The sequence below is a fragment of the Homo sapiens genome, chromosome 11 (assembly GCF_000001405.40).
Source record: "Homo sapiens chromosome 11, GRCh38.p14 Primary Assembly".
Lineage (NCBI taxonomy): Eukaryota > Metazoa > Chordata > Mammalia > Primates > Hominidae > Homo > Homo sapiens.
The window spans coordinates 56,906,572-56,930,562 of record NC_000011.10 but is presented as its reverse complement, the minus strand read 5'-3'; the positions used below and the strand labels follow the sequence as shown (position 1 = coordinate 56,930,562).

General features: G+C 39.1%; 1 long non-coding RNA gene across 1 annotated transcript in view, besides 1 other annotated feature; it reads left to right on the top strand.

The window, feature by feature from the left end:
- The window catches only part of LOC105369310 (uncharacterized), a 49,693-nt gene that overhangs the window by 21,781 nt on the left and 3,921 nt on the right, over positions 1–23,991 (top strand). The window contains exon 2 of the long non-coding RNA XR_950121.2: positions 20,076–20,205. This is a non-coding gene — a long non-coding RNA (uncharacterized LOC105369310). The remainder of the gene's footprint in view (positions 1–20,075; positions 20,206–23,991) is intronic.
- Positions 19,065–20,264: an enhancer, noted in NCBI's record as "MED14-independent group 3 enhancer chr11:56677775-56678974 (GRCh37/hg19 assembly coordinates)". NCBI's record gives its function as "activates an origin of replication core promoter dependent on BRD2, BRD4, P300/CBP and CDK7 cofactors, and independent of MED14, by STARR-seq in HCT116 cells {active_cell/tissue: HCT116}" and the evidence as "EXISTENCE:reporter gene assay evidence [ECO:0000049][PMID:35650434]".

Below are 23,991 nucleotides of genomic sequence, written 5' to 3'. Positions count from 1 at the left end.
AGATAGGGCTATAACATAACTGCCAGGAGTTATCTAGTTTAAAGAGACATGAGCCTGGTTGATGAAGCCACTTTCATTTCTATGCCCATAAAGCAGAGCCCTATAGCCTGAAGGTTAGAAATAAAATGACCTGCAGGATCAGTCATCTGAATTTAACTCAGTGCTCAGTGGTATTCAAAGCTGTGAAAGCAGTAGGCTTTGGTTCTCCTCCTCTGGAAAGTATATTGAACAAGCAATAAAAATATGGCTAATGCCTCACCAAATGCAAATGCCAGTCACCACAGGGTGAGAGAGAGACATCACTTGAGATAGTGAGTTCAGAAAAATGATCATTTTCATTAACTAACAGCCTACTAAGCAAATTAAAATTTACCTCACTTATACATTTTCATTCTTACCTAGCACCTTTCCCCCACTATGATCCTCATTTTTGTGTCTACTATTCTCTTGCTTCTCTTTATCATGTTACTACATATTTATGAATCCTTAAACAGCACATTGTTTAGTTTGCACATTTTTGTAAACCATAGAAATACAAAGGATCATAAGAGCCTACTGTGAACAACTATGCACAAGCGAATTGAGTAACCTAGAATATATGGATAAATTTCTAGAAACATACAACCTACCAAGACTGAATCATGAAGAAAGAAAATCTGAACAGGTCAATAATGATTAAGGAGAGTGAAGCAGTAATCAAAAACCTCCCAGCAAAGAAGAGCCCAGAATCGGATGGTCTAGCATCTTTTTTGAATTATGAATTTTATGTATTTATTTATTTATTTTAGAGACAGAATCTCTAAAAAAAACAAAACTCTAGTTGCTCAAAAAATCTCTATGTTGCCCAGGCTGGTATTGAACTCCTGGGCTCAAGAGATCCTCCTGCCTTGGCCTCCCAAGTGTTGAGATTACAGATGTGAGCCTGGCCCAAGCACCTTTTTTGAATTGATTTCATGTTTCCTTATATAATCTGTCTAAATCTCCCAACTTTCTTCAGATTACACAGTAACCAAGTCTGTTTGGAGATTTACAAGGTGGGCTATTTATAACACTGAGTGGGGAACACGTTTGAGATAGTAAATTTGCCTAAGGAGAGTCGGGTTGCTATTTCTAAGTAATCAGGAGAACAAGCAGTGCTTGAAAGTCTCTGGTTTGGACCAAGGGAGACAGAAAAAGCGAACCATTGAGCCCGCTCCCACTTGTAACCCTGAATTGAGGCAGGAGAAATCATCTAGAATCCACCAGCAGGAGGAAAATGGGCACTTGCCTGCCTATTATGAAGAGTCTTGAAGTCAAAATAGCTTTTTATTCTTTTCATCTCCTCCCCAACTTTCCTATTTGATATTAGCCATTATCATTTTAATAATGCCACTTCCTCCCAGACAACCAGTTTTTGTTTTCTTAACTTTGACATGTGTGGCTAAGTCCCCAGGAGCTATGAGTGATTTAATGTGTTATTTTCCAGTAGGGGTTTAATTGAGAAACAAACAAAGCTAAAAGAGTATTTTGCAGAGCTTGAAGTAAGGGAATGAATATATACTGGTAGAATTTCAGGCAACAGATAATCCAGTAGCGCCGATTTGCTTGGAGCTGGGGAAGCAAGCTTGCACTATTGTGCTTTCTGCAGCTAAGGTAACCTTGAATAAAAGTATAGACACTAGAGATCAGTATGTTACTAAGAGTATCCACTTATCCTTCTAGCACTAAAACTCTCTTGTGAGAGAGAAAGCCCTCTTGTTCTAAGACATGCTTACCTTGGTGTCAAACTTGAAAACTGCCTTGTCAATGCCTGGGGTTTCCATCAGAGAAAACAAAACTCTTTCTTTCATCAGGGTAACTCAATTACAAGGTACAGTAGTTCTGCATGGTGGGTAGGGAGTAGGCAACAAAATCTTATACTTAAAACGCAGTCTATTCTTTAGTGAAACACAACACATCTTTAAATACAGAACATTAACCTGCTTGATCTGTTGCTATTAGGACTAGATGTAGGAAGTTCTTTTAAGATATTTCATAGACTTTTTATTTTTTCCACTTGGAAAGAAAATGTGTATATGCATTAATGACACATGTGCAGTTACAATAATGAAGATCTGAAGTCAATTTTGAAATATTTTAAGAAATTTTATTGTTAATTATACTCAGTTTTTTAAAGAAAAAGAAGTTCACACATCTGAAAAGAAATAAGTAAAAAGCGTTTGTGCTTCAACAGGAAATTCTTAAACATATGATTCTTTTCTAAGAGCAATTGCACTAATTTCCAAAGTACCCTGTTAGATGGCTCTCTTTTGGCTGACTTCTCCCTATGTCCACTTCATCCATAAAACTTTTGCCTGGTTCTTGTACTTCTGGCCCTTGACTGAGATGATCTGACTAAAGTCTATTGGGAGGACTGAGTTTAAGGTACTAATGAAAAAACAAAAATATTGGGCTCCATTTCCCTTTTGTCACCCTGGTCAATGTCATCTTGTGTTTCCTAGGTTCTTATTTGCAGAGAAGACTTTCAGAGAAGGGGTTATCACATGTGCTTGGGATTCATATTCCTAGAACAGCACAGTCAGGTATACCAGTGGTGATAACTAATTCCCAGTTAAGCAGGGAAGAGCTCCTGCACATGCACCAACCCTCATCAGAGATGCAATTACATGTGTGTCAAGGCTGACATTCGGCATCATGTTTCATAGTAAGCATCCGCCCAGAGGGCAGCAGATTTCTTCAAGGCTCTGTGAAAGGAATAAACAAGATCATCAGGAGGTGAGACTGTAATGTTAAGAAAGCTCCTACATGGAATTTGCTCCTCTGCCTGGTTCAGAACAATGTCATTTCCAGCTATATCTGATAAATGTCATCCTCTGTTGATCAATTCTGTTGACTAAATTGTTTTTAGCAGGTGAATTCACCTTTTCTTTATGGAGAACATTGAGATTTTCTTTCATTTTATTCTTTTCTGAGCCTATATATCTGTAAATCCACCCATCCTATATTTACCTGTCAACCCTATTTTATAATATGGAGGACATTTTTCTAGGCTCTGGTGGGACAACAATGAGTAGGGTGGATGTGAGTCCTGTCCACATGAAATTCCAGGTCTAGCTTGGGAGACACATATTAAATAATTTATTACCCAATATGTTATCTGAATACAATTGTGATAAACTTCACAAATGAAGAGAAGCAGGTGCTGCAAGAGCATGTGACTAATTTAGTTTTAGGGGTCAGAGGAGATAGACATGAGGAAAAGGCATTTGAGTTGAGCCTTGGAGAAAGAATGGCAATTGACAAGATGATGTCAGGGGAGGTGGAGGTTTGGAGGAACATTCCAGGCAGAAGAAAAAGTGGCAAAAGAATAAGACAACTAGGGAAGGGAGTTTCACAGCAACTTAAGGTAGGCTAATTGCATTAATTTCTGGAGGAAATTATCTGGAGGATAGAGAAAGAGGAGGAGTGTGGTAGAGAGTCTGGAGCTGGAGCACTGGTTAGGGATCAGATCAGATCAGATCAGGCCTGGCCTTGTTGGTCTCATTTAAGATTGTTTTTTTTCAACCCTAAACTAAAGAGAAATTTATTAAACCCAGGTTACTGGTTGTTAATTTAACCAGCACAACATTCTTTAGGAAATTGTATATGAATGCCTAAGGATGAGTATGGATTTTCAGTTTCTGCATGCCTCACTACTCTTAATTAATCACCCCAGCCTGAGCTGCACATTTATACCCCACTGAACCCTGCAGGCATCTAAATTTGCAACACTGGACCAGATGATCTGACAGTGTCTCCCACTACTTAAATTCTAACATTTGTAGGAAGCTCTGTGGGGGATAAAAAGGCAAATAATATACAGCCTTGACTTTAAGAAATTTGAAATTTAGTAGGACAGTAAAGCATTTTCGCTAAGCTGTACCTATAGGTAAAAGGTCAGTATTATTATTATTTTGTTGTTGTTGATACGGTTCCCTATGGTGCCATGTATCCATGCTGAGCACACAGGTGACCCTTAATAAATGGTTGTTATATGAATGATTCACAAGCCACTGAATAGTCTGGGGAGTGGCAGTAAATACAAATGAGAGCTGTGAGCTGAGAGAAATTATGTTATTACCTGACAATATCTCCAAATGCCCTCAACATGGGTTTATTCACATAGTGCAATCCGTGCTTGGCACACAGTGACCTCACCAGAGGCGCCACTTTGTGATAATTATGGCGTGGCATTGTGGGGAACAGACTGGAGAAACACACAAGAGATATAAAATTTAGACCTAAAGAAAAACTTTGAGTTTTCTTCCTTCTGTTACCAAATAAAACTATATCAGCAATGCAGACCCAACCTTGACCTTGCACAATACTGCTGTTCTGGGAAGTTCAAAAACTCCTTCCAAAATACGCTTGTCTCTTAACACCTCTGCAAGCCAGGTGGGTGGTGAATGTTTGGGAAATGCTAACAGAATAAATGTTATCTTCATCGAATATGTTTATATTTGGCCAGTTCAGATGAAGGTATGGATTGTCTATCACTTTGAATTACCTAGGGGAGCTGAAGATACCCCTGTCCTCCTTCTCTGTCTCTGTCTTTGTGTCTCTCTTTCTCTCTATCCATCTGATATGGTTTGGCTGTGCCCCCACCCAAATCTCAACTTGAATTATATCTCCCAGATTCCCACGTGTTGTGGGAGGGACCCAAAGGAAGGTAATTGAGTCATGGGGGCCAGTCTTTCCCATGCTATTCTCATGATAGTGAATAAGTCTCACGAGATATGATGGGTTGATCAAGGGTTTCTGCTTTTGCTTCTTCCTCATTTTCTCTTGCCACTGCCATGTAAGAAGTGCCTTTTGCCTCTCGCCATGATTCTGAGGCCTCCCCAGCCATTTGGAACTGTAAGTCCAATTAAGCCCCATTTTCTTCCCAGTCTCGGGTATGACTTTATCAGCAGTGTGAAAACAGACTAATACAGTAAATTGGAACCAGAAGTGGGATGTTGCTGAAAAGATACCTCAAAATGTGGAAACGACTTTGGAACTGGGTAACAGGCACAGGTTGGAACAGTTTGGATGGCTCAGAATAAGGCAGGAAAATGTGGGAAAGTTTGGAACTTCCTAGAGACTTGTTGAATGGCTTTGCCCAAAATGCTGATAACGATATGGACAATAAGGTCCAGGCTGAGGTGGTCTCAGATGAAGATCAGGAACTTCTTGGGAACTGGAATAAAGGTGACTCTCGTTATGTTTTAGCAAAGAGACTAGGTGGAGGTTCCCAAACACCATCTAATTCCTATCCCATGAAGAGATGAATATTCAATAAGTTCTAGTCATGGCATATAGGAAAAAGTCCTGGGATAGGAATAAGGAGTGAGGAGATACGGGTTTTTATCTAAGGTTTTCCACTAATCACCCAGGTGACTTTCTTGGGTTTTAACTTCCTCTTGATAAAATGTGAATAATAGTCTTTTTTTGTTTGGCTGAGGTTTTTAAGGAATAACTTGAAGGAAAGGATGAGAAAATTATATGAGCAGGTATAAGAACTCTTTCCTTCTCTGACTATCCTAAACATGGCTTAGGTAAAGAGGATGTGGACAGTCTCTCCCTTAAATATTCTGGAGATTGACTCTCCAAGTGTTATCATTTTCTCTTTATTTTATGGCCACCTAACTGACTCATTGGTAAAGTATTGCCAATACCATTTGAATATTGCATCAGGGAATGGGTTTTATCATTGATTATTTTGTAACTTCAGATCTAAAGAGATAGACATTTAAATTAAATTTCAACACAACTTGGTTACCCACTTCTCAAGCCTGCAGGTATCTGAAAATGGAATCAGTGGCACTTTTCCAAGATTTCACTCTAGTTACTCACAATCAATCTTTCTTTCTCTTTCTTTCTTTCTTTTTTCTTTCTTTCTTTCTTCCTTTCTTTCTTCCTTTCTTTCTTTCTTTCTTTCTTTCTTTCTTTCTTTCTTTCTTTCTTTCTTTTTCTTTCTTTCTATCTCTCTCTCTCTTTCTTTCTTTCTTTTTCTTTTTTACTTTCTCTTTCTCTCTCTCTCTCCTTCCTTCCTTTCTTCCCCATCATTGCTAATAGAAAGATAGCAGCCTGTAGAAAATGCTCTTTCTTTTTTTCCCCTCTGAGACCTTGAGCCTAGGGCCTGATCTGGATTATATTTGGGGGTGTTATAAGTGACTGCACTTGCTCTACTAAGGACTATTCTTGTTACTCACTGGTGCTCGATTTGGAAGTTCAGGTGCCCAGTGAATCAGTCATTGAAAAAGGACTATTCAGTATTACAGGTGGCCAAGACCTGCAAAGAAAAAGCTTATATTAGTTATAAATGAGCCCAAGTGTCAAACAATTGGAGGCATAGTTTCTATAATTCTTTACTGCTCAGGAGTCATGTGGCCAGAGGTGACAGGATTTGTGACTTTCCCAATTGTGCTTGTAGATAATATCACTATTATAGAACCTAAGATTAATTTTTTGAGATGTTTTTCAGACTGTCCCCACTTGGACCCATGCATGACTCATGACTCGATGGGTCCTGTGGCCCCACCCAAAGGTGGACTGGGAACATTTTCCACACCCCTATAATTTCTTCCCCAACCAGTCAACTAGCACCCATTTCCTAGCCCTCTTCCCATCAAATTGTCCATTGATACAGTTTGCCTGTGTTCCTACTCAAATCTCATCTTGAATTATAATCCCCATAATCCCCATGTCAAGGGAGGGACCTGGTTCTAAGTCAGTGTGGTTTGAAAGATTCTCCCCCAGGAACTCCATCATTACCTGAGTGGTGAGCCAGTCCCGGTTCTCCTCTGTGCTCATTCTCATTGTTATGTGGCTCATCTGGGTAACATATACAATCCAAGGACTTTCAAGAAACCTTTTGGAGGAATAAAAGGAGGGAGTGATGACTGTTTGGGGTGTTTCAGTAGCAAGCACTGGACTTGCATAACCCCTAGTAGAGCTGGTTGATCATTGGAGGAAATGAAAGAGACTCAAAGTTTCCAGTAAAATGGTGGTCTTTCTTTTTCTTATTTGAAAGATCTTTATATCAAGAGATGACACTCTAAGCATTCAGCCACATGACTGCCAAATGTATAGGAGCAGAGCCTCTAAAGTTTTCTGTAGCTCTAGTGCAAAGATCAAAACCACTAGGGAAATTTAAGGGCATATGCAAACTGGTTGACAGCCTAGGCTTTGTCCTCAGATAAGAGGTGGATTCAAGTTCTGTTTTGGCATTGGCCTTGGCTCTTACTTGCTCTTACATGCCCTTGGGCATATGATTTAATCTCCTTAAACTTCAGTTCCTTTAGCAGAAAAATGACCATGATACTATCTACACTGCAGAGTTGTGTGAGGATTAAATCAAATAAGATAATGCACGTAAAGCCTTTAACAAAGTGTCTGATGCATAGTAGCTACAATTATTCTTATAATTATTTAGGACTTAGAATAACGTGGCAACAGAATGAGGGAAGATTACATTGGAAAACTGGAGAGGACTATTCAAGCAAAAATGCGTTGGAAGTCGTTTTGCTTTGGGAAAACCTCTAGTCATAAAAGAACTTAAAAAAAAATCCTTCCCTGTCATTCTTTGGTAGGGATTACTATGTCTACCTAGATTACAATTTTAAGGACTTAGGGTTCAACTGAAATGCTTCAATTAGGAATCCAGGAAGTGGGTAAAAAATGGAGATTGGGCAAATTTTTTTTGCAAAGAGCTCGTCTTATTCAACTATTTCAACTTTTTTTTTTCACATTTGCTTAAAAACACCCCAGCTGCAAGAAATGGGGCATGATGTCATAATCTAATCTCTCTTAAAGCTAATGACAAATAGCTCTGATAGGGAAAGGATGAGGATCTTCTGGATTACTGGAATAAAATAGTATTCTTACTTGACCAAATATATGAGCAACATGGTCCCGAAGATTCCATAGTAAAGGCCAAATGTGATGAAATATCAGATGTAAAAGCTGCTAACCCAGGTGATGTCTTGCAGAGAAAAGCACTTGAAAGTTATACACCCTGAACATGATTTCATTTCCTCTTCATTGGCCTGGGATCCCTTCATGTTCTGGCTAAATCTTATGCCCTGTTATTCAAGGAAGCTGTATCTGGAGAGGACACAGCATTTTCATTTTCCCTCTTCTACTTGGTCTAGTTTCGGAGAATGAGCCACATTACTCACCACCCAATATCTTTGGAGGTACATCGCTTGCATGGATGGCAGTTTGAGATATACTGGCATGAAGAGTGGGAGCCAAACTGAAACAGAACAAAAAATGATGCTGAATAAATAAACAAAATGTGTTCATGTGTATTTAATGTTTAGCTCCCACTTAGAAGTGAGAACATGCAGTGTTTGGTTTTCTGTTCCTGCGTTAGTTCACCTAGGATAATGGCCTCCATCTCCATCCATGTTGCTTCAAAGGACGTTATCTTATTCTTTTGAATGGATGTGTAGTATTCCATGGTATATACGTACCACATTTTATCTAAGCAGTCTACCACTGATATGCATTTAGGCTGATTCCATGTCTTAGCTATTGTGAGTAGTGATGCCTCCCGAGACACACAATTTATCTGTATAACAAACCTGCACATGTATCCTTGAAACTAAAATAAAAGTAAAAAAAAAAAAAGGAAAATCACCAGTAATCTTACTACCCAGATACTACCATAAATATTTTGAATATAGATATATTAATATATGTTCTAAAAATTGGTATTATGCTACCTGTAGTACTGTTTTTTACACTATCTTTAAAAAGAAAACATATCATGACCATCTTCCCATTTCTCTAAATATTTTCCAGCATCTTTTTTTTAAATTATACTTTAAGTTCTGGGATACATGTACAGAACGTGAAGGCTTGTTACATAGGTATACACGTGCCATGGTTGTTTGCTGCACCCATCAACCCATCATCTACATTAGGTTGTTCTCCTAATGTTATCCCTCCCCTAACCCCCAACCCACAAACAGCCCCTGGTGTGTGATGTTCCTCTTCCTGTGTCCATGTGTTCTCATTGCTCATCTCCCACTTATGAGTGAGAACATGCAGTATTTGGTTTTCTGTTCCTGTGTTAGTTTGCTGAGAATGATGGTTTTCAGCTTCACCCATGTCCCTGCAAAGGACATGAACTCATCCTTTTTTATGGCTGCATAGTATTCCACAGTAAATATGTGACACATTTTCTTTATCCAGTCTAACATTAATGGGCTTTTGGGTTGGTTCCAAGTCTTTGCTATTGTGAATAGTGTTGCAGTAAACATATGTGTGCATGTGTCTTTACAGTAGAATGATATATAATCCTTTGGGTATATACCCAGTAATGGGATTGCTGGGTCAAATGGTATTTCTGGTTCTAGATCCTTAAGGAATCACCACACTGTCTTCCACAATGATTGAACTAATTTACACTCCCAACGACAGTATAAAAGCATTTCTATTTCTCCACATCCTCTCCAGCATCTGTTGTTTCCTGCTTTTTTAATGATTGCCATTCTAACCGGCATGAGATGGTATCATATTGTGGTTTTGATTTGCATTTCTCTAATGACCAGTGATGTTGAACTTTTTTTTTCATATGTTTGTTGGCCACATAAATGTCTTCTTTTGAGAAGTGTCTGTTCATATCATTTGCCCAATTTTTGGTGGGGTTGTTTGTTTTTTTCTTGTAAATTTGTTTAAGTTCCTTGTAGATTCTGGATATTAGCCCCTTGTCAGATGGATAGATTACAAAATTTTTCTCCCATTCTGTAGGTTGCCTCTTCACTCTGATGATAGTTTCTTTTGCTGTACAGAAGCCCTTTAGTTTAATTAGATCCCATTTGTCAATTTTGGCTTTTGTTGCCATTGCTTTTGGTGTTTTCGACATGAAGTCCTTGCCCATGCCTATGTCCTGAATGGTATTGCCTAGGTATGTCCTGAATGGTATTGCCTAGGTTTTCTTCTAGGGTTTTTATGGTTTTAGGTCTTACATTTAAGTCTTTAATCCATCTTGAGTTAATGTTTGTATAAGGTGTAAGGAAGGGGTCCAGTTTCAGTTTTCTGCATATGGCTAGCCAGTTTTCCCAACACCATTTATTAAATAGGGAATCATTTCCCCATTGCTTGTTTTTGTCAGGTTTGTCAAATATCAGAAGGTTGTAGATGTGTGGCATTATTTCTGAGGCCTCGGTTCTGTCCCATTGGTCTATATCTCTGTTTTCATACCAGTACCATGCTGTTTTGGTTACCATAGTATAGTTTGGTATACTTGTAGTATAGTTTGAAGTCAGGTAGTGTGATGCCTTCAGTTTTGTTCTTTTTGCTGAGGATTGTCTTGGCTATATGGGCTTTTTTTAAATTTACAGTAGTTTTTTCTAATTCTGTGAAGAAAGTCAATGGTAGCTTGATGATGATACTGTTGAATCTGTAAATTACTTTGGGCAGTATGGCCATTTTCATGATATTGATTCTTCCTATTCATGAGCATGGTATATTTTTACACTTGTTTGTGTCCTCTTTTATTTCCTTGAGCAGTGCTTTGTAGTTCTCCTTGAAATGATCCTTCACGTTCCTTGTAAGTTGTATTCCTAGGTATTTTATTATCTTTGTAGCAATTGTGAATGGAAGTTCACTCATGATTTGGCTTTCTGTTTGTCTGTTATTGGTGTATAGGAATGCTTGTGGTTTTTGTACGTTGATTTTGTATCCTGAGACTCTGCTGAAGTTGCTGATCAGCTTAAGGAGATTTTGGGCTGAGATGATGGGGTTTTCTAAATATATAATCATGTGATGTTCAAACAGAGACACTTTGACTTCCTCTCTTCCAATTTGAATTCCTTCTTTCGCTTGATTGCCCTGGCCAGAAACTTTCAATACTATGTTGAATAGGAGTGGTGAGAGAGGTTGTCTTGTGCCAATTTTCAACGGGAATACTTCCAGCTTTTGCCCATTCAAATTGATATTGGCTGTGGGTTTGTCATAAATAGCTCTTATTATTTTGAGATACTTTCCATCAATACCTAGATTATTGAGAGTTTTTAGCATAAAGGGGTGTTGAATTTTATCAAAGGCCTTTTCTGCATCTATTGAGACAATCGTGGTTTTTGTCATTGGTTCTGTTTATGTGGTGGATTACATTTATTTATTTGCATATGTTGAACCAGCCTTGAGTCCCGACTTGATCTTGGTGGATAAGCTTTTGGATGTGCTGCTGGATTTGGTTTGCCAGTATTTTACTACGGATTTTCGCACTGATGTTCATCAGGGATATTGTCCTAAAATTTTCTTTTTTTGTTGTGTCTCTGCCAGTTTTTGGCATTAGGATGATCCAGCATCTGTTTTGTAATTACTGTGTTGTATTTTTATAATGTACTTAATACATTTATTTAATAAATCCAGTAAATATATTTAATTAAAAAATGTGACCCCAATGCAAGTCAGCAGGAGTCTATCTCCTTAATGCAGCGTTCCTGGAATGCTGGCCCCAAGGAAAGATGCAAGGTGGAGATCCACAGCCTCATCCTGGACTGCACTGGGCATTTCAAGTCTAAAAGGCTGGGCTAGGAATTTGGTTAGTAGCTCCAGGTTCAAGCTGCCTCAAAGAAGCGAGGAAAGCTTGGGAGATTTGAGTCATTTTTGATGAAAGCATCCCTGAAGAGCTTCTGCTATCAGCTTTCAAGTTTTTTCAAGGTACTTGGAGTCCTTCAGTCTCCCTGGATCTTTGGGATTTAGCCCCATTACAGTGTGTTGAGGTGTCAGTGATAAAGAAGGTATACTCATTTCCTGGTCAGAGTTATTTACCTGCCTCTCTCCCAGCATCATTGAGGCTTCCCAGGCACAGAGGATCCTTAAGGACATCCCCTGGCTTTTGACAAAGGCTGTCTCCCTGGTCGAACTTTAGTTAGGATCCTCTGAGCCCTCTTCTTGACTAGGCCTCAACCTTGGCCTACGAGAATTGCAGACTCTCAGCACAAATGATTTCATCCACTCTCCAAACTAAGAAACTTGAACAAACACTAGCATAGTTTCTCAAAGCTCAAGGCCATCTCTCTGGGGTAATCCCAGCATCCTTGATGTTTTTACCTGAGAAAGCTCAATGCTGCCAAAATAATTTACTGTTTATTCTGGCCAGTATCTGACTATAGGCACCTGACACCCCTTTTTCTTAGAGCATTTACTTTAGGACACTGACAATTGTAAATCCTTTGTGTCTTCCTTTGAGATGTAGCTTCTATACTCCAGAAATGTATTTCTCAGGGGCCTGGTAACAATCCCTTTGAAATCTAGCCATCAAGAAGGCTGGGGCTGTTATCTGTCAGTCTATTTGGGAGGATAGGAGCCAAACTTTGATAAGTACCAGTTAGCAGACACAGACAGCCTGGACAAATCTTATCAACCAACTCCTCCACCCCCTACCCCATCTCCCAGTGTCTTTCAGTACTTTTCCTTTAGTATGTTCCAGCATTTAAAAGCCTCTCTCTCACTTTTGCGTCAGGAGAATTAAGCTCAGTTTATGGTGAAGTCTCTCTCCCCTAGTGCAATTGCCTGAATATAATTTGTCTTGCTGCCTTTAACAAATGTCTGGTTTTGTTTCTTTTTGACAGTTTGAGTATGACTCATTTGCACCCGAGATGTTAAGCTAGCATTTGCCGGGAAAGGCCACAATAAAACAGCTCTTGGTGGTGGCAGTGTGGTTTGTGAGGTGGGCATTTTGCAGTGAATTCACACCATTCCCTCATTTCTCATAAGGGAAGGGCATATTGCCCCACTACAGACAGGGGAGGTAAACACATGTTTCTCAGGAAAGTTCACAGAAGAAAGTCCAACAGCATTTTCTTATGCAAACACACATCTACTTAGGCTGGGAATCGGCTACCTTTTAAAAATGGGGCGCCAATGAGAACACATGGACGCAGGAAGAGGAACATCACACACCGGGGACTGTTGTGGGGTGGGGTTAGGGGGGAGGGATAACATTAGGAGAGATACCTAATGCTAAATGACGAGTTAATGGGTGCAGCACATGGCACATGTATACATATGTAACAAACCTGCACGTTGTGCACATATACCCTAAAACTTCAAGTATAATAATAATAATTAAAAAATAAATAAATAAAAATAAATAAAAATGGGGCACCAATGTCCTCATTCCTCTTTCAGGTTATGCAAGAGAAGCGGGGCAGGTGAGAGTGCAGGATCGGGGAGGCTGAATTCCAACTGTGGAGGAGCCAGCAGTGATGGTCAATCTCACACTTCAAAAAATTTGCCCCCTGCTGTCCTCCTCTGGCATGATAGGTGTGTGGCCTACACGTGGGCAAATCAGATCATCTGCAACGGTGTTTCTCAACCCCAGCACTGCTGGCAATTTGGGTGAGATGATTATTTTTATAAGGGGCTGTCCTTTGCATCGCGGAATGTTTAGCAGCATCCCTGGCTTCTATCCACTGACTGCCAATACGTTCCCTCTTCCTCTGTTGCGATAACCAAAAAAATGTCTTTAGACTGCCTCTGGGAGGCAAAATTGCTCGGGTTGAGAACAACTGGATTACAGGAAATGTTTGGTTCCTTCCCTGATTTTGGTTTAACCCCCAGATGTATGTTTTAGTTGGGCAGATTTGGGGGTTTCTTTTTTTTGTGAGCTGCTATGAGTTTGATATTGGTTAAGAGCAAAGGCTCTTTGCTTATGATGTTCTTTTACTGGTATCAGATTTACTCAGCTACCTTTATTTTCCTTCACACTTGACCCACATGCCCACACTCAGATATATATGTCTCATGCCTTCCCACAGCTGTATGCAGGTCATGGGAGCAGACAGCTTTCTTCCACACAAGAGCACTGCAGATGCCCTTTATTTCCCGGCCTCTCCATTTCCGGTGTCACACTGCAAATGCTTCAGATTTATTTCCCCATGTCTACTTCCTTCCTACACAAACACCATTATTCTTTTCTCTTGATAGATGTTTGGTCTTTCCAGAATGACAGTCCTAGATGCAGGCCCCTTGACTGGCAGCCTGCCTTCCCTCCCTCGTTGGGTATCTCCTTCCTTCCCCATCCAACTCTTAGAATGATGAGGTGCCCTTTAAAAAGGCTGTTTACTTTTCCATTTCCCTTTGCCGATTTCCACCCCAGTGAGTATAAATAAGACATTCTGCTTTGCTCAGTAGCAATAGGACATGGGCTGGTCTCTGTGAGAGCATTCCAATCGGCCTTCTCCCTTGACAAGTACTTGCTTCAAGTAAATGGGATACAAGGAATGTGGCTCTGGGAGACTCACCTTTGTAGAAGTACAGGTGCTGCTCTTCATAGTTGATGTATTTGATTTTCTTCTTGCCGTACTGAATAGAGAGATAATAAAACTAAAATAAGAGACCATACTTCTGGTCATCACACTCGAGGATGCATGTGTATGTGTGTGTGTGTATGTGTGTGTGTGCACATGCATGTGTGTATGTCTAAAATCTTTATGGGAAGAGCCATCTGATCACTGTTCATCGGCTTTCAAGTCTGAGGAACTAGAAGAACCAGAACCAGGATGGGAGGAAATATTGTGGCAACTTTTTGCTTCAATTATATGTGGGTAATTCTGGCACAAATGGAATATTCCATTTGACTGTAGGAATTGTGATCATTTTTTTGTTCTTATGGGAATCATTTTGAATTTTTTTCTTTTTATGTGAGGTGGAATGGTCACTGAAATGGGACATTTCAGAGTTTTTCTTGTGCTTCTTCAACTATGGCATTTAGGATTCTGCTCCATATTCATTCATTCATCCAACAGATGTATGATTCATTCATCACAGTCAAGAATTTTCTTTTAAATTCATTCATCCGAAAGATACTAAATGGTAATATGATAGAAGATATAGTTGTGGCCTCTCCTGTCTGTCTCATCTTTCTTCTTTGTGTTCTCATCATGGAAATCACACTATCATTTATTATTTTAGCACATGATGACAGCACATATAATATCTATTATACATTATATAATTACAGTATAATAATATAATTATAATATTACATTCACTACTGAAAATGTGATTCATTTTCTAGGAGTCTCCTTAGTTAATCTGGCATATATTCAGGGCACAAAGCAAATGCTTTGAAAGGAGGATAGAAGTAATGATTATATCTCTAGTATCTGGCAGACACTCAATAAATGTTTATTGAAGGAATTAACGAATGAATGATAATTCATACTCACTCTGTATTTTTGCCCTTCAGTTACAACTCTGGGCAGTGTTTGACTCTTGCTTTCTCCTTTCCTTTGATATCTTTCCTCCTATGTATAGATTTCTTCTTGTATTTGGATTGTATAGTTGGTCCTTCCTTCTCTTATTGTCAAAAATTACAAAAAAATCATAGTGATAAAGTAATAATAGCTATTTGCAGTTATTCCTAAACCTTTAAATATTTTAGGAACAGGAAACATGGTAAAGGGACTAGTTGGAAATGCGTGGGAGTGGACAAACAGTAATGGACAGATTTTGAGTATCACCTTAAAGGAGGATTCGGTCTTCCAGGATATAAGCACAGGACATAGAAGAATATAAATGCTTGCTGAAGAAACTTAACATTTGAATAAAGTATTAGAAAGGCAGACAGTAAAGAAGGAAGAAAGGAAAAGCCCAGGGCTGATTAGAAATGTTTTTGATGTGAAACTACTGAATTTTAGAGTTTAAATAAATAATTGTAAGTAATGTCTTCTGCAGTGGCTTTGAAATTATGTTATATAGAACTCTAAGGTTTTAGGGATGTCCCAGGAGCAGCTTCAGAACTTGGAGAGGTAGCCTCTATTGTTTGTGAAGAGGTAGCATGTGTGCTGAAAATAGCTCTATAGAAGGCATGTCTGAACTCAAGCTGCTTCATGAACTTCCCTGAGACAAACTCCCTTGCTCTCTAGGGGGAAGGGGAGATATGAGGGGACAATTGGAGAAATCAATACTTCAGAATTCTAATGATGATCATAGAAACCCACAAACATCAGGGAAGTCCAATGTGTTTGTGGAATCATTGTCAAAAGCAACTGATTTGTGATCACAGCACCAAGAATTTTTTCAAAGCAAGAGACCTTGTTTTCTATTTCAGCTAGGGAAAAGGGTGAGTCTCCCAAAGATGAAAAAAACTACTTTCAAAAAGTTGCACAATTTTTGGTTAATGTACCAGACAGGCAACAACTGAGAAGGCTATATCGTTTTATTTTTATAAAACTCCTAGTTTTTCTAGGAGATAGCAAACTCTTCCCAAGTACCTGACTCTCAGGTACTTCATTTGAGGGGAGGCACTTTTCTTTGGTTATCCTTATATCTCCTATGCTTAAGAAATACTCCCTCCTAAAAATCTCGGTAATTGACATTGTCCTTTACATGATGGTTTTAAGTTGGAGTTTTTTTTTTTATTTTTTTTTTTATACTTTAAGTTTTAGGGTACATGTGCACATTGTGCAGGTTAGTTACATATGTATACATGTGCCGTGCTGGTGCGCTGCACCCACTAACTCGTCATCTAGCATTAGGTATATCTCCCAATGCTATCCCTCCCCCCACCCCACCACAGTCCCCAGAGTGTGATATTCCCCTTCCTGTGTCCATGTGATCTCATTGTTCAATTCCCACCTGTGAGTGAGAATATGTGGTGTTTGGTTTTTTGTTCTTGCGATAGTTTACTGAGAATGATGATTTCCAATTTCATCCATGTGCCTACAAAGGACGTGAACTCATCATTTTTTATGGCTGCATAGTATTCCATGGTGTATATGTGCCACATTTTCTTAATCCAGTCTATCATTGTTGGACATTTGGGTTGGTTCCAAGTCTTTGCTGTTGTGAATAGTGCTGCAATAAACGTACGTGTGCATGTGTCTTTATAGCAGCATGATTTATATTCCTTTGGGTATATACCCAGTAATGGGATGGCTGGGTCAAATGGTATTTCTAGTTCTAGATCCCTGAGGAATCGCCACACCGACTTCCACAATGGTTGAACTAGTTTACAGTCCCACCAACAGTGTAAAAGTGTTCCTATTTCTCCACATCCTCTCCAGCACCTGTTGTTTCCCGACTTTTTAATGATTGCCATTCTAACTGGTGTGAGATGGTATCTCATAGTGGTTTTGATTTGCATTTCTCTGATGGCCAGTGATGATGAGCATTTTTTCATGTGTTTTTTGGCTGCATAAATGTCTTCTTTTGAGAAGTGTCTGTTCATGTCCTTCGCCCACTTTTTGATGGGGTTGTTTGTTTTTTTCTTGTAAATTTGTTTGAGTTCATTGCAGATTCTGGATATTAGCCCTTTGTCAGATGAGTAGGTTGCGAAAATTTTCTCCCATTTTGTAGGTTGCCTGTTCACTCTGATGGTAGTTTCTTTTGCTGTGCAGAAGCTCTTTATTTTAATTAGATCCCATTTGTCAATTTTGTCTTTTGTTGCCATTGCTTTTGGTGTTTTAGACATGAAGTCCTTGCCCATGCCTATGTCCTGAATGGTAATGCCTAGGTTTTCTTCTAGGGTTTTTATGGTTTTAGGTCTAACGTTTAAATCTTTAATCCATCTTGAATTGATTTTTGTATAAGGTGTAAGGAAGGGATCCAGTTTCAGCTTTCTACATATGGCTAGCCAGTTTTCCCTGCACCATTTATTAAATAGGGAATCCTTTCCCCATTGCTTGTTTTTCTCAGGTTTGTCAAAGATCAGATAGTTGTAGGTATGCGGTGTTATTTCTGAGGGCTCATGATTATCTCAATAGATGCAGAAAAAGCCTTTGACAAAATTCAACAACCCTTCATGCTAAAAACTCTCAATAAATTAGGTATTGATGGGACGTATTTCAAAATGATAAGAGCTATCTATGACAAACCCACAGCCAATATCATACTGAATGGGCAAAAACTGGAAGCATTCCCTTTGAAAACTGGCACAAGACAGGGATGCCCTCTGTCACCACTCCTATTCAACATAGTGTTGGAAGTTCTGCACAGGGCAATTAGGCAGGAGAAGGAAATAAAGGGTATTCAATTAGGAAAAGAGGAAGTCAAATTGTCCCTGTTTGCAGACGACATGATTGTATATCTAGAAAACCCCATTGTCTCAGCCCAAAATCTCCTTAAGCTGATAAGCAACTTCAGCAAAGTCTCAGGATACAAAATCAATGTGCAAAAATCACAAGCATTCTTATACACCAACAACAGACAAACAGAGAGCCAAATCATGAGTGAACTCCCATTCACAATTGCTTCAAAGATAATAAAATACCTAGGAATCCAACTTACAAGGGATGTGAAGGACCTCTTCAAGGAGAACTACAAACCACTGCTCAAAGAAATAAGAGGATACAAACAAATGGAAGAACATTCCATGCTCATGGGTAGGAAGAATCAATATCGTGAAAATGGCCATACTGCCCAAGGTAATTTACAGATTCAATGCCATCCCCATCAAGCTACCAATGACTTTCTTCACAGAATTGGAAAAAACTACTTTAAAGTTCATATGGAACCAAAAAAGAGCCCGCATCGCCAAGTCAATTCTAAGCCAAAAGAACAAAGCTGGAGGCATCACACTACCTGACTTCAAACTATACTACAAGGCTACAGTAACCAAAACAGCATGGTACTGGTACCAAAACAGAGATATAGATCAATGGAACAGAACAGAGCCCTCAGAAATAAGTTGGAGTTTTAAAAAGTAATAATTAACTGAGAAATTCTGAAGATGGTTTTCCCCCTCCTTTTTTCTGTTGTTTAAGAAGCTCAAATTAGAGGTGAGACCTGTAGATCTCTTCCATGGCATTTGGGCTGTAGTTCATGTGTAAATGCACCAAAATGAACATGAACTAAATATAACAGCATAGTCTTTTCTAACTGGGCTAGAATTAGTTGAGATAACTAGCTATGTGAACGTATGTGACCTAGTGCTTATTGAATATATTGACCTATATTCTCTCAGTGAATGTTTCTCCATGCCCTGTTTAAACCTCAGACAGTCATTGCAACTTCAGTCATCTGGTTCCACGATCTAACATTGGCTTGTATTGCCTCAGAGGAAATGACAGGCACTGGGCAGGGACCCATCTGTCACTGGGATTGCTCAGAGTAATGTGGATTTCCATATTTCCTGCCGTGGGAGGTTGGACTGGATGATCTGTAAGGTCATAGACTTAATGGTTACGGCTCTAAATCGCCTTGTATTCTTACAGCCCCAGATTCAGTTATTTCAAATCTGTATTTTGAACCTAAAAGAAGGAGAGATGTTCTCAGATTGTGTGTGAAGCCAGAATTTCCAGCTTGATCTTTCCAAGGCAAGGCTGTAAGCCTTTCCACGAACCACTTCCAGGAACATTTCCTCGGTGCTCAAGATTTCTAAGTGTACCTTGACAGGTTGTGAATCTCCAAGGAGAAAAAGTGGGTCCGTGTCAATATCTGGGTCTTTGGGGTAGATGTTCGGCTTTACGTGTTGTTCAAAGTGCCAGTAATTCCACCGGTCTGCTGACAGGCCCTGAGGAGAAGAGCGGGCTCGTTATTTGAAATAATTCTTTCCTGAAATACCCTTCACTGTCAGAGTTTTCTGCATGCATCCCCAAAGTCAAAATAAGATATTTGAGTTTCTCTAGCTTGCCTCCACTGCTGAGCCACAGCATGACTCATCGGACAGAGGCGCTCATAGCTTACAAAGAAATAATTCTCTGATCCAGAAACACAACTTTAGGCTAAAAGTCTTGGTAAGGAAAATCGTAAAAGCTGGTTGAAAAGAAATGTTTTCCCATCCTTGTCTTATCTGATCTTCATTAAAATAAATCTGAAGGTAGCTGGGGCAGAGAGTATTTTTTCTATTTTACATATAAAGAAGACTTAGCTCCGAGACTTTAATTAGTTCTGGGGAAAAAGATGCGGCCCCAGGTATCTTACTTCAATGAGTGTTTCAAAGAATCATGGATCTGAAGTGATCTCCCTGGGGGTCTTGGCTCAGATCCTTGCATGTCCCGGCTTCAATGCTGTCATACAAAAATAAATGAGAATAAAAAGATTTTAGCACATGCCAATCTTGAGTCACCTCTGATTAGGTTTTTGTGTTTTTTTTTCTTTTTTAATCATAGAAAGTCTGAAATTTTAATAGAGCAAAGAATTTGGAGGCATATCAACCTAGTTACCTATGCTGGATGTATAAATACTGCTGCATCGTTTCGGCAAATCACCCAACCTCTTTGAGGCTCAGTTCTATCTCCGGTAAATAACATAAGGACATTTACCTCCGTGGGTGGTCTGGGGAGTTATGAGATGACGTATGTAAAATGTTGGCATATTCAGTTTTTCCTCCTTTATGTTAATCATTTACAGAAGAATGAGCAGCAGTAGTAGTTTTTATTGCATATTTCACATAGCTTAGCAAGCAGTCTATACATGTTCTAGTCTGCTCTGTCCAATGCAATAGCCATTAACACATGTGGCTATTGAGCACTTGAAAAGCGACCGAATAAAGACAAGCTGTAAGTATAAAATACCTACTGGATTTTGAAGATTCAGTATGAAAAAAGGAATGTAAAATATTTCATCAATAACTTTTACATTGATTACATGTTGAAATAATACTGTTTTGAATATATATGGAGTAATAAACTTACCTTTTAAATATGACTATTGAAAAATTTAAAATGCATATGTCATTTTAATATGGTGCATTATATTTCTGTTGGAGAATGCTGGTCTGGATATCATACATCTATAGTAGAAGGGGATGGCTCTTTATTTGAAAACCTGTAAGCATTAGCATTGTCTTTCCATAGTCTTCTTTGCAGTTGTTTCTTAGCAACCCCCATCGCATCCCCAGTTAACACTCCCTAACCTTGCAATCCTCCAGCCTGACTCTCTATCCTGAATCTTATGCCTGAATGGGGACTTTCCAAATATATATATATTTAGATCTCTCTCTCTCTCTCTACCCCCCACCCAGAATGGGGGGACAGAAATTGTTAAGTGTAGTTTGTGACACATTGAGCTTGAGTATCATGAAATATCATATATATATGATATATATGTGATATATATGATATATATGTGATATATATGTGATATATATATGTGTATGTGTGTGTGTGTGTGTGTGTGTGTGTGTGTATTTGGATATTTCATGATACTCAAGCCTCTACATGTCACAAACTATACTTAACAATTTCTGTCCCCCCTTCAAGGGCCCCATCAGTGCTCTGTGTTTCTTCCATCAAATTGCATATGATGGGTACAAAGTTACAGCTAGACCGGAAAAATGAGTTTGGTGTTCTATTACACATAGGGCAAGGGTCCCCAGCCCCCGGGCCACGAATCAGTGCCAGTCTGTGGTCTGTTAGGAACTGGGCTGCATAGCAGAAGGTGAGTGGCAGGCGAGCAAGGGAAGCTTCATCTATGTTTACAGCTACTCCCCATCATTCTCATTACAGCCTGAGCTCTGCCTCCTGTGAGATCAGCTGCAGCATTAGATTCTCATAGGAGCACAAATCCTATTGTAAACTGCACATGTGAGGGATCTAGGTTACATGCTCCTTATGAGAATCTAATGCCTGATGATCTGTCACTGTCTCCCATCACCCCAGATGGGACCCAGTAGTTGCAGGAAAACAAGCTCAGAGCTCCCACTGATTCTACATTATTGTAAATTGTATAATTATTTCATTATTACAGTGTAATAATAATAGAAATAAAGTGCACAATAAATGTAATGTGCTTGAATCTCCTGAAACCACACCCCACCCACTGGTCCATGGGAAAATTGTCTTCCATGAAACCAGTCCCTGGTGCCAGAAAGATTGAGGACCACTGCAGTAGGGTGACTGTAGCTAACAATCAGGTATTATATATTTCAAGATAGCTAGAAGAGAGGATATTGAATGTTACAACAAAGAAACGATAAATGTTTAAAGTGATGAAGATCCTAATAACCTTGACTTGATCATTACACAACGTACATATGTATTGAAACATCATAGTGTAGCTCATAAATACATACAATTACTATGTGTCGATTATAAATAAAAATAAAATAAAATGATAAAAGATTTTTTAAATTGCATATGACCTACTTAATCTTACAATTGTGTATTTATTCACACATTCATTATTTATTTTGAATTATGTCCTAGGTGTCAGATACTTACTGAGCTAGGCATTTGGAACATAAAGATAAACATGATAAAATGGGGTTTCCACACTTAGGAAACATATAATCTAATGGGAGCAGTAGACAACTGAACAAGGACAATATGATAAGGAGAGAATCTCCTTTTCAATTAAGTCACCTGAGAACCAATGTTTGGATTCTTCCGCCAGCTGACTGTACTCTTTTAGCCAATGATTATCTGTGGTGAGTAGTAATGTGGGAGTCCGGTTTGGATCCATGATATGACGGGAAGCAGATCTTAACAGGTAAAGCTTAGAATAATGGTCAGAGTAATTATGGGTGTGATCCAAATAAATGTCTTCCCTTGGCCCTTCTTTCTGGAAGCCACTATATCCAGAGACAAGGGAAAGAAAGTACTCCACAGGCAAGAGAGGATTATCAGCGGCATGCCAAATAGGCTGCCCCTTCGCCAAATTCTAGGCAGGAACAACCCTGTCATTCCTCATTTCCACATTAGGTCTATTCTCAGTGCGGTAGAGAAAGGGCGGGGAACATCACACATTGGGGCCTGTTGGGGGGTGCGGGGCTGGGGGAGGAATAGCATTAGGAGAAATACCTAATGTAAATGATGAGTTGATGGTTGCAGCAAACCATCATGGCACATGTATATCTATGTTTCAAACATGCACATTGTGCACATGTACCCTAGAACTTAGGGTATTAAAAAAAAAAAAGAATGAACCCAGGCTTTGGAATGAAACCAACCTGAATTTAATCCCTGCTTGGCCATCTATTTAGGTATGTGACCTTGAGCAATTTCCTCATCTGTAAAATGGATGAGGCTTCTTAGAGGATTGCAGAAAATAACATGCTTGACACTTTCCTTTTCCTTACCAAAATAAAATGTTTTAGGATGTCATCATGGAATCAGTATAGGCCAGATTTTCTAGGAAGATCTTAATTTCAAATGTTCTGTCCCACTATCCCTATAATGAGACTTGACTCTTAGTTTTTTTATATGCACATACTGATGAATATGAAAAATATGCTACAAGGAGTCCACTTTGTTTTTAGTATTGCACAGTAGTCCAAAATGTATGCAAACATTTCATGGTTTATTTTGGGAAGTGCTCTTTTATTGTACAAACACTGGAAAGACCAGAACATATACATTTTTGCACAGTTGGTGAATGAAAATTCTAAAGAATCTCCATATTGGTGTCTTTTCCAGGCGGTGGTGGGGGGAGGTAATTGACATGAAGTTAAATTTTAAACTTTAAAATTGTGATGCATGTCTAAGGCGGGGATGTTGCTGTTTATATTGTAATTTTCTTTGTCACATCCTCCCCGCCCACCTTCCCTTTCCACAGGTAGTTTTCTCTCCTGCACATAGTTGAAGCCAATGTTCATTTTGCTCATGAGTCACTGTTTTTGTCTGCAAAAAAAGGCAGAGTACACTTGATTTGCTTTTAGAGCCATTGCCCATGTTCTTACTCAGTTCACAAGTCATCAAGGTTATATTCATTTCGACTAGTGCAAAATTGTTTCTGGAGACACAACTTACATAGAAATAGCTGTGTACAAATCAGGATCAATGGGAAAGCAGTGATTTTTTTTTTAAAGTGCCAGCATGGGTGGGGCTGATCTGAAATATTTCACATACTGGCACTGAATCAACTGCCAGCTACCTCCAGGGCAGATGAGTCTTACCTTTCCTCTGACTCCTCAGAACAGAGGAGGAAAAATGGGATGGTCTATTACCTGAAACTCACAATAGCAGAAGAAACTGCCTCTGCTTTTATTCTGTGCTAAGTATCTCTGAGTGAATCCAGAAACAGACTAATCTATCTTACACTGGTGAAGAGAGGGTGGAATAGAATGCCCACAGGAATTTTCTGGTC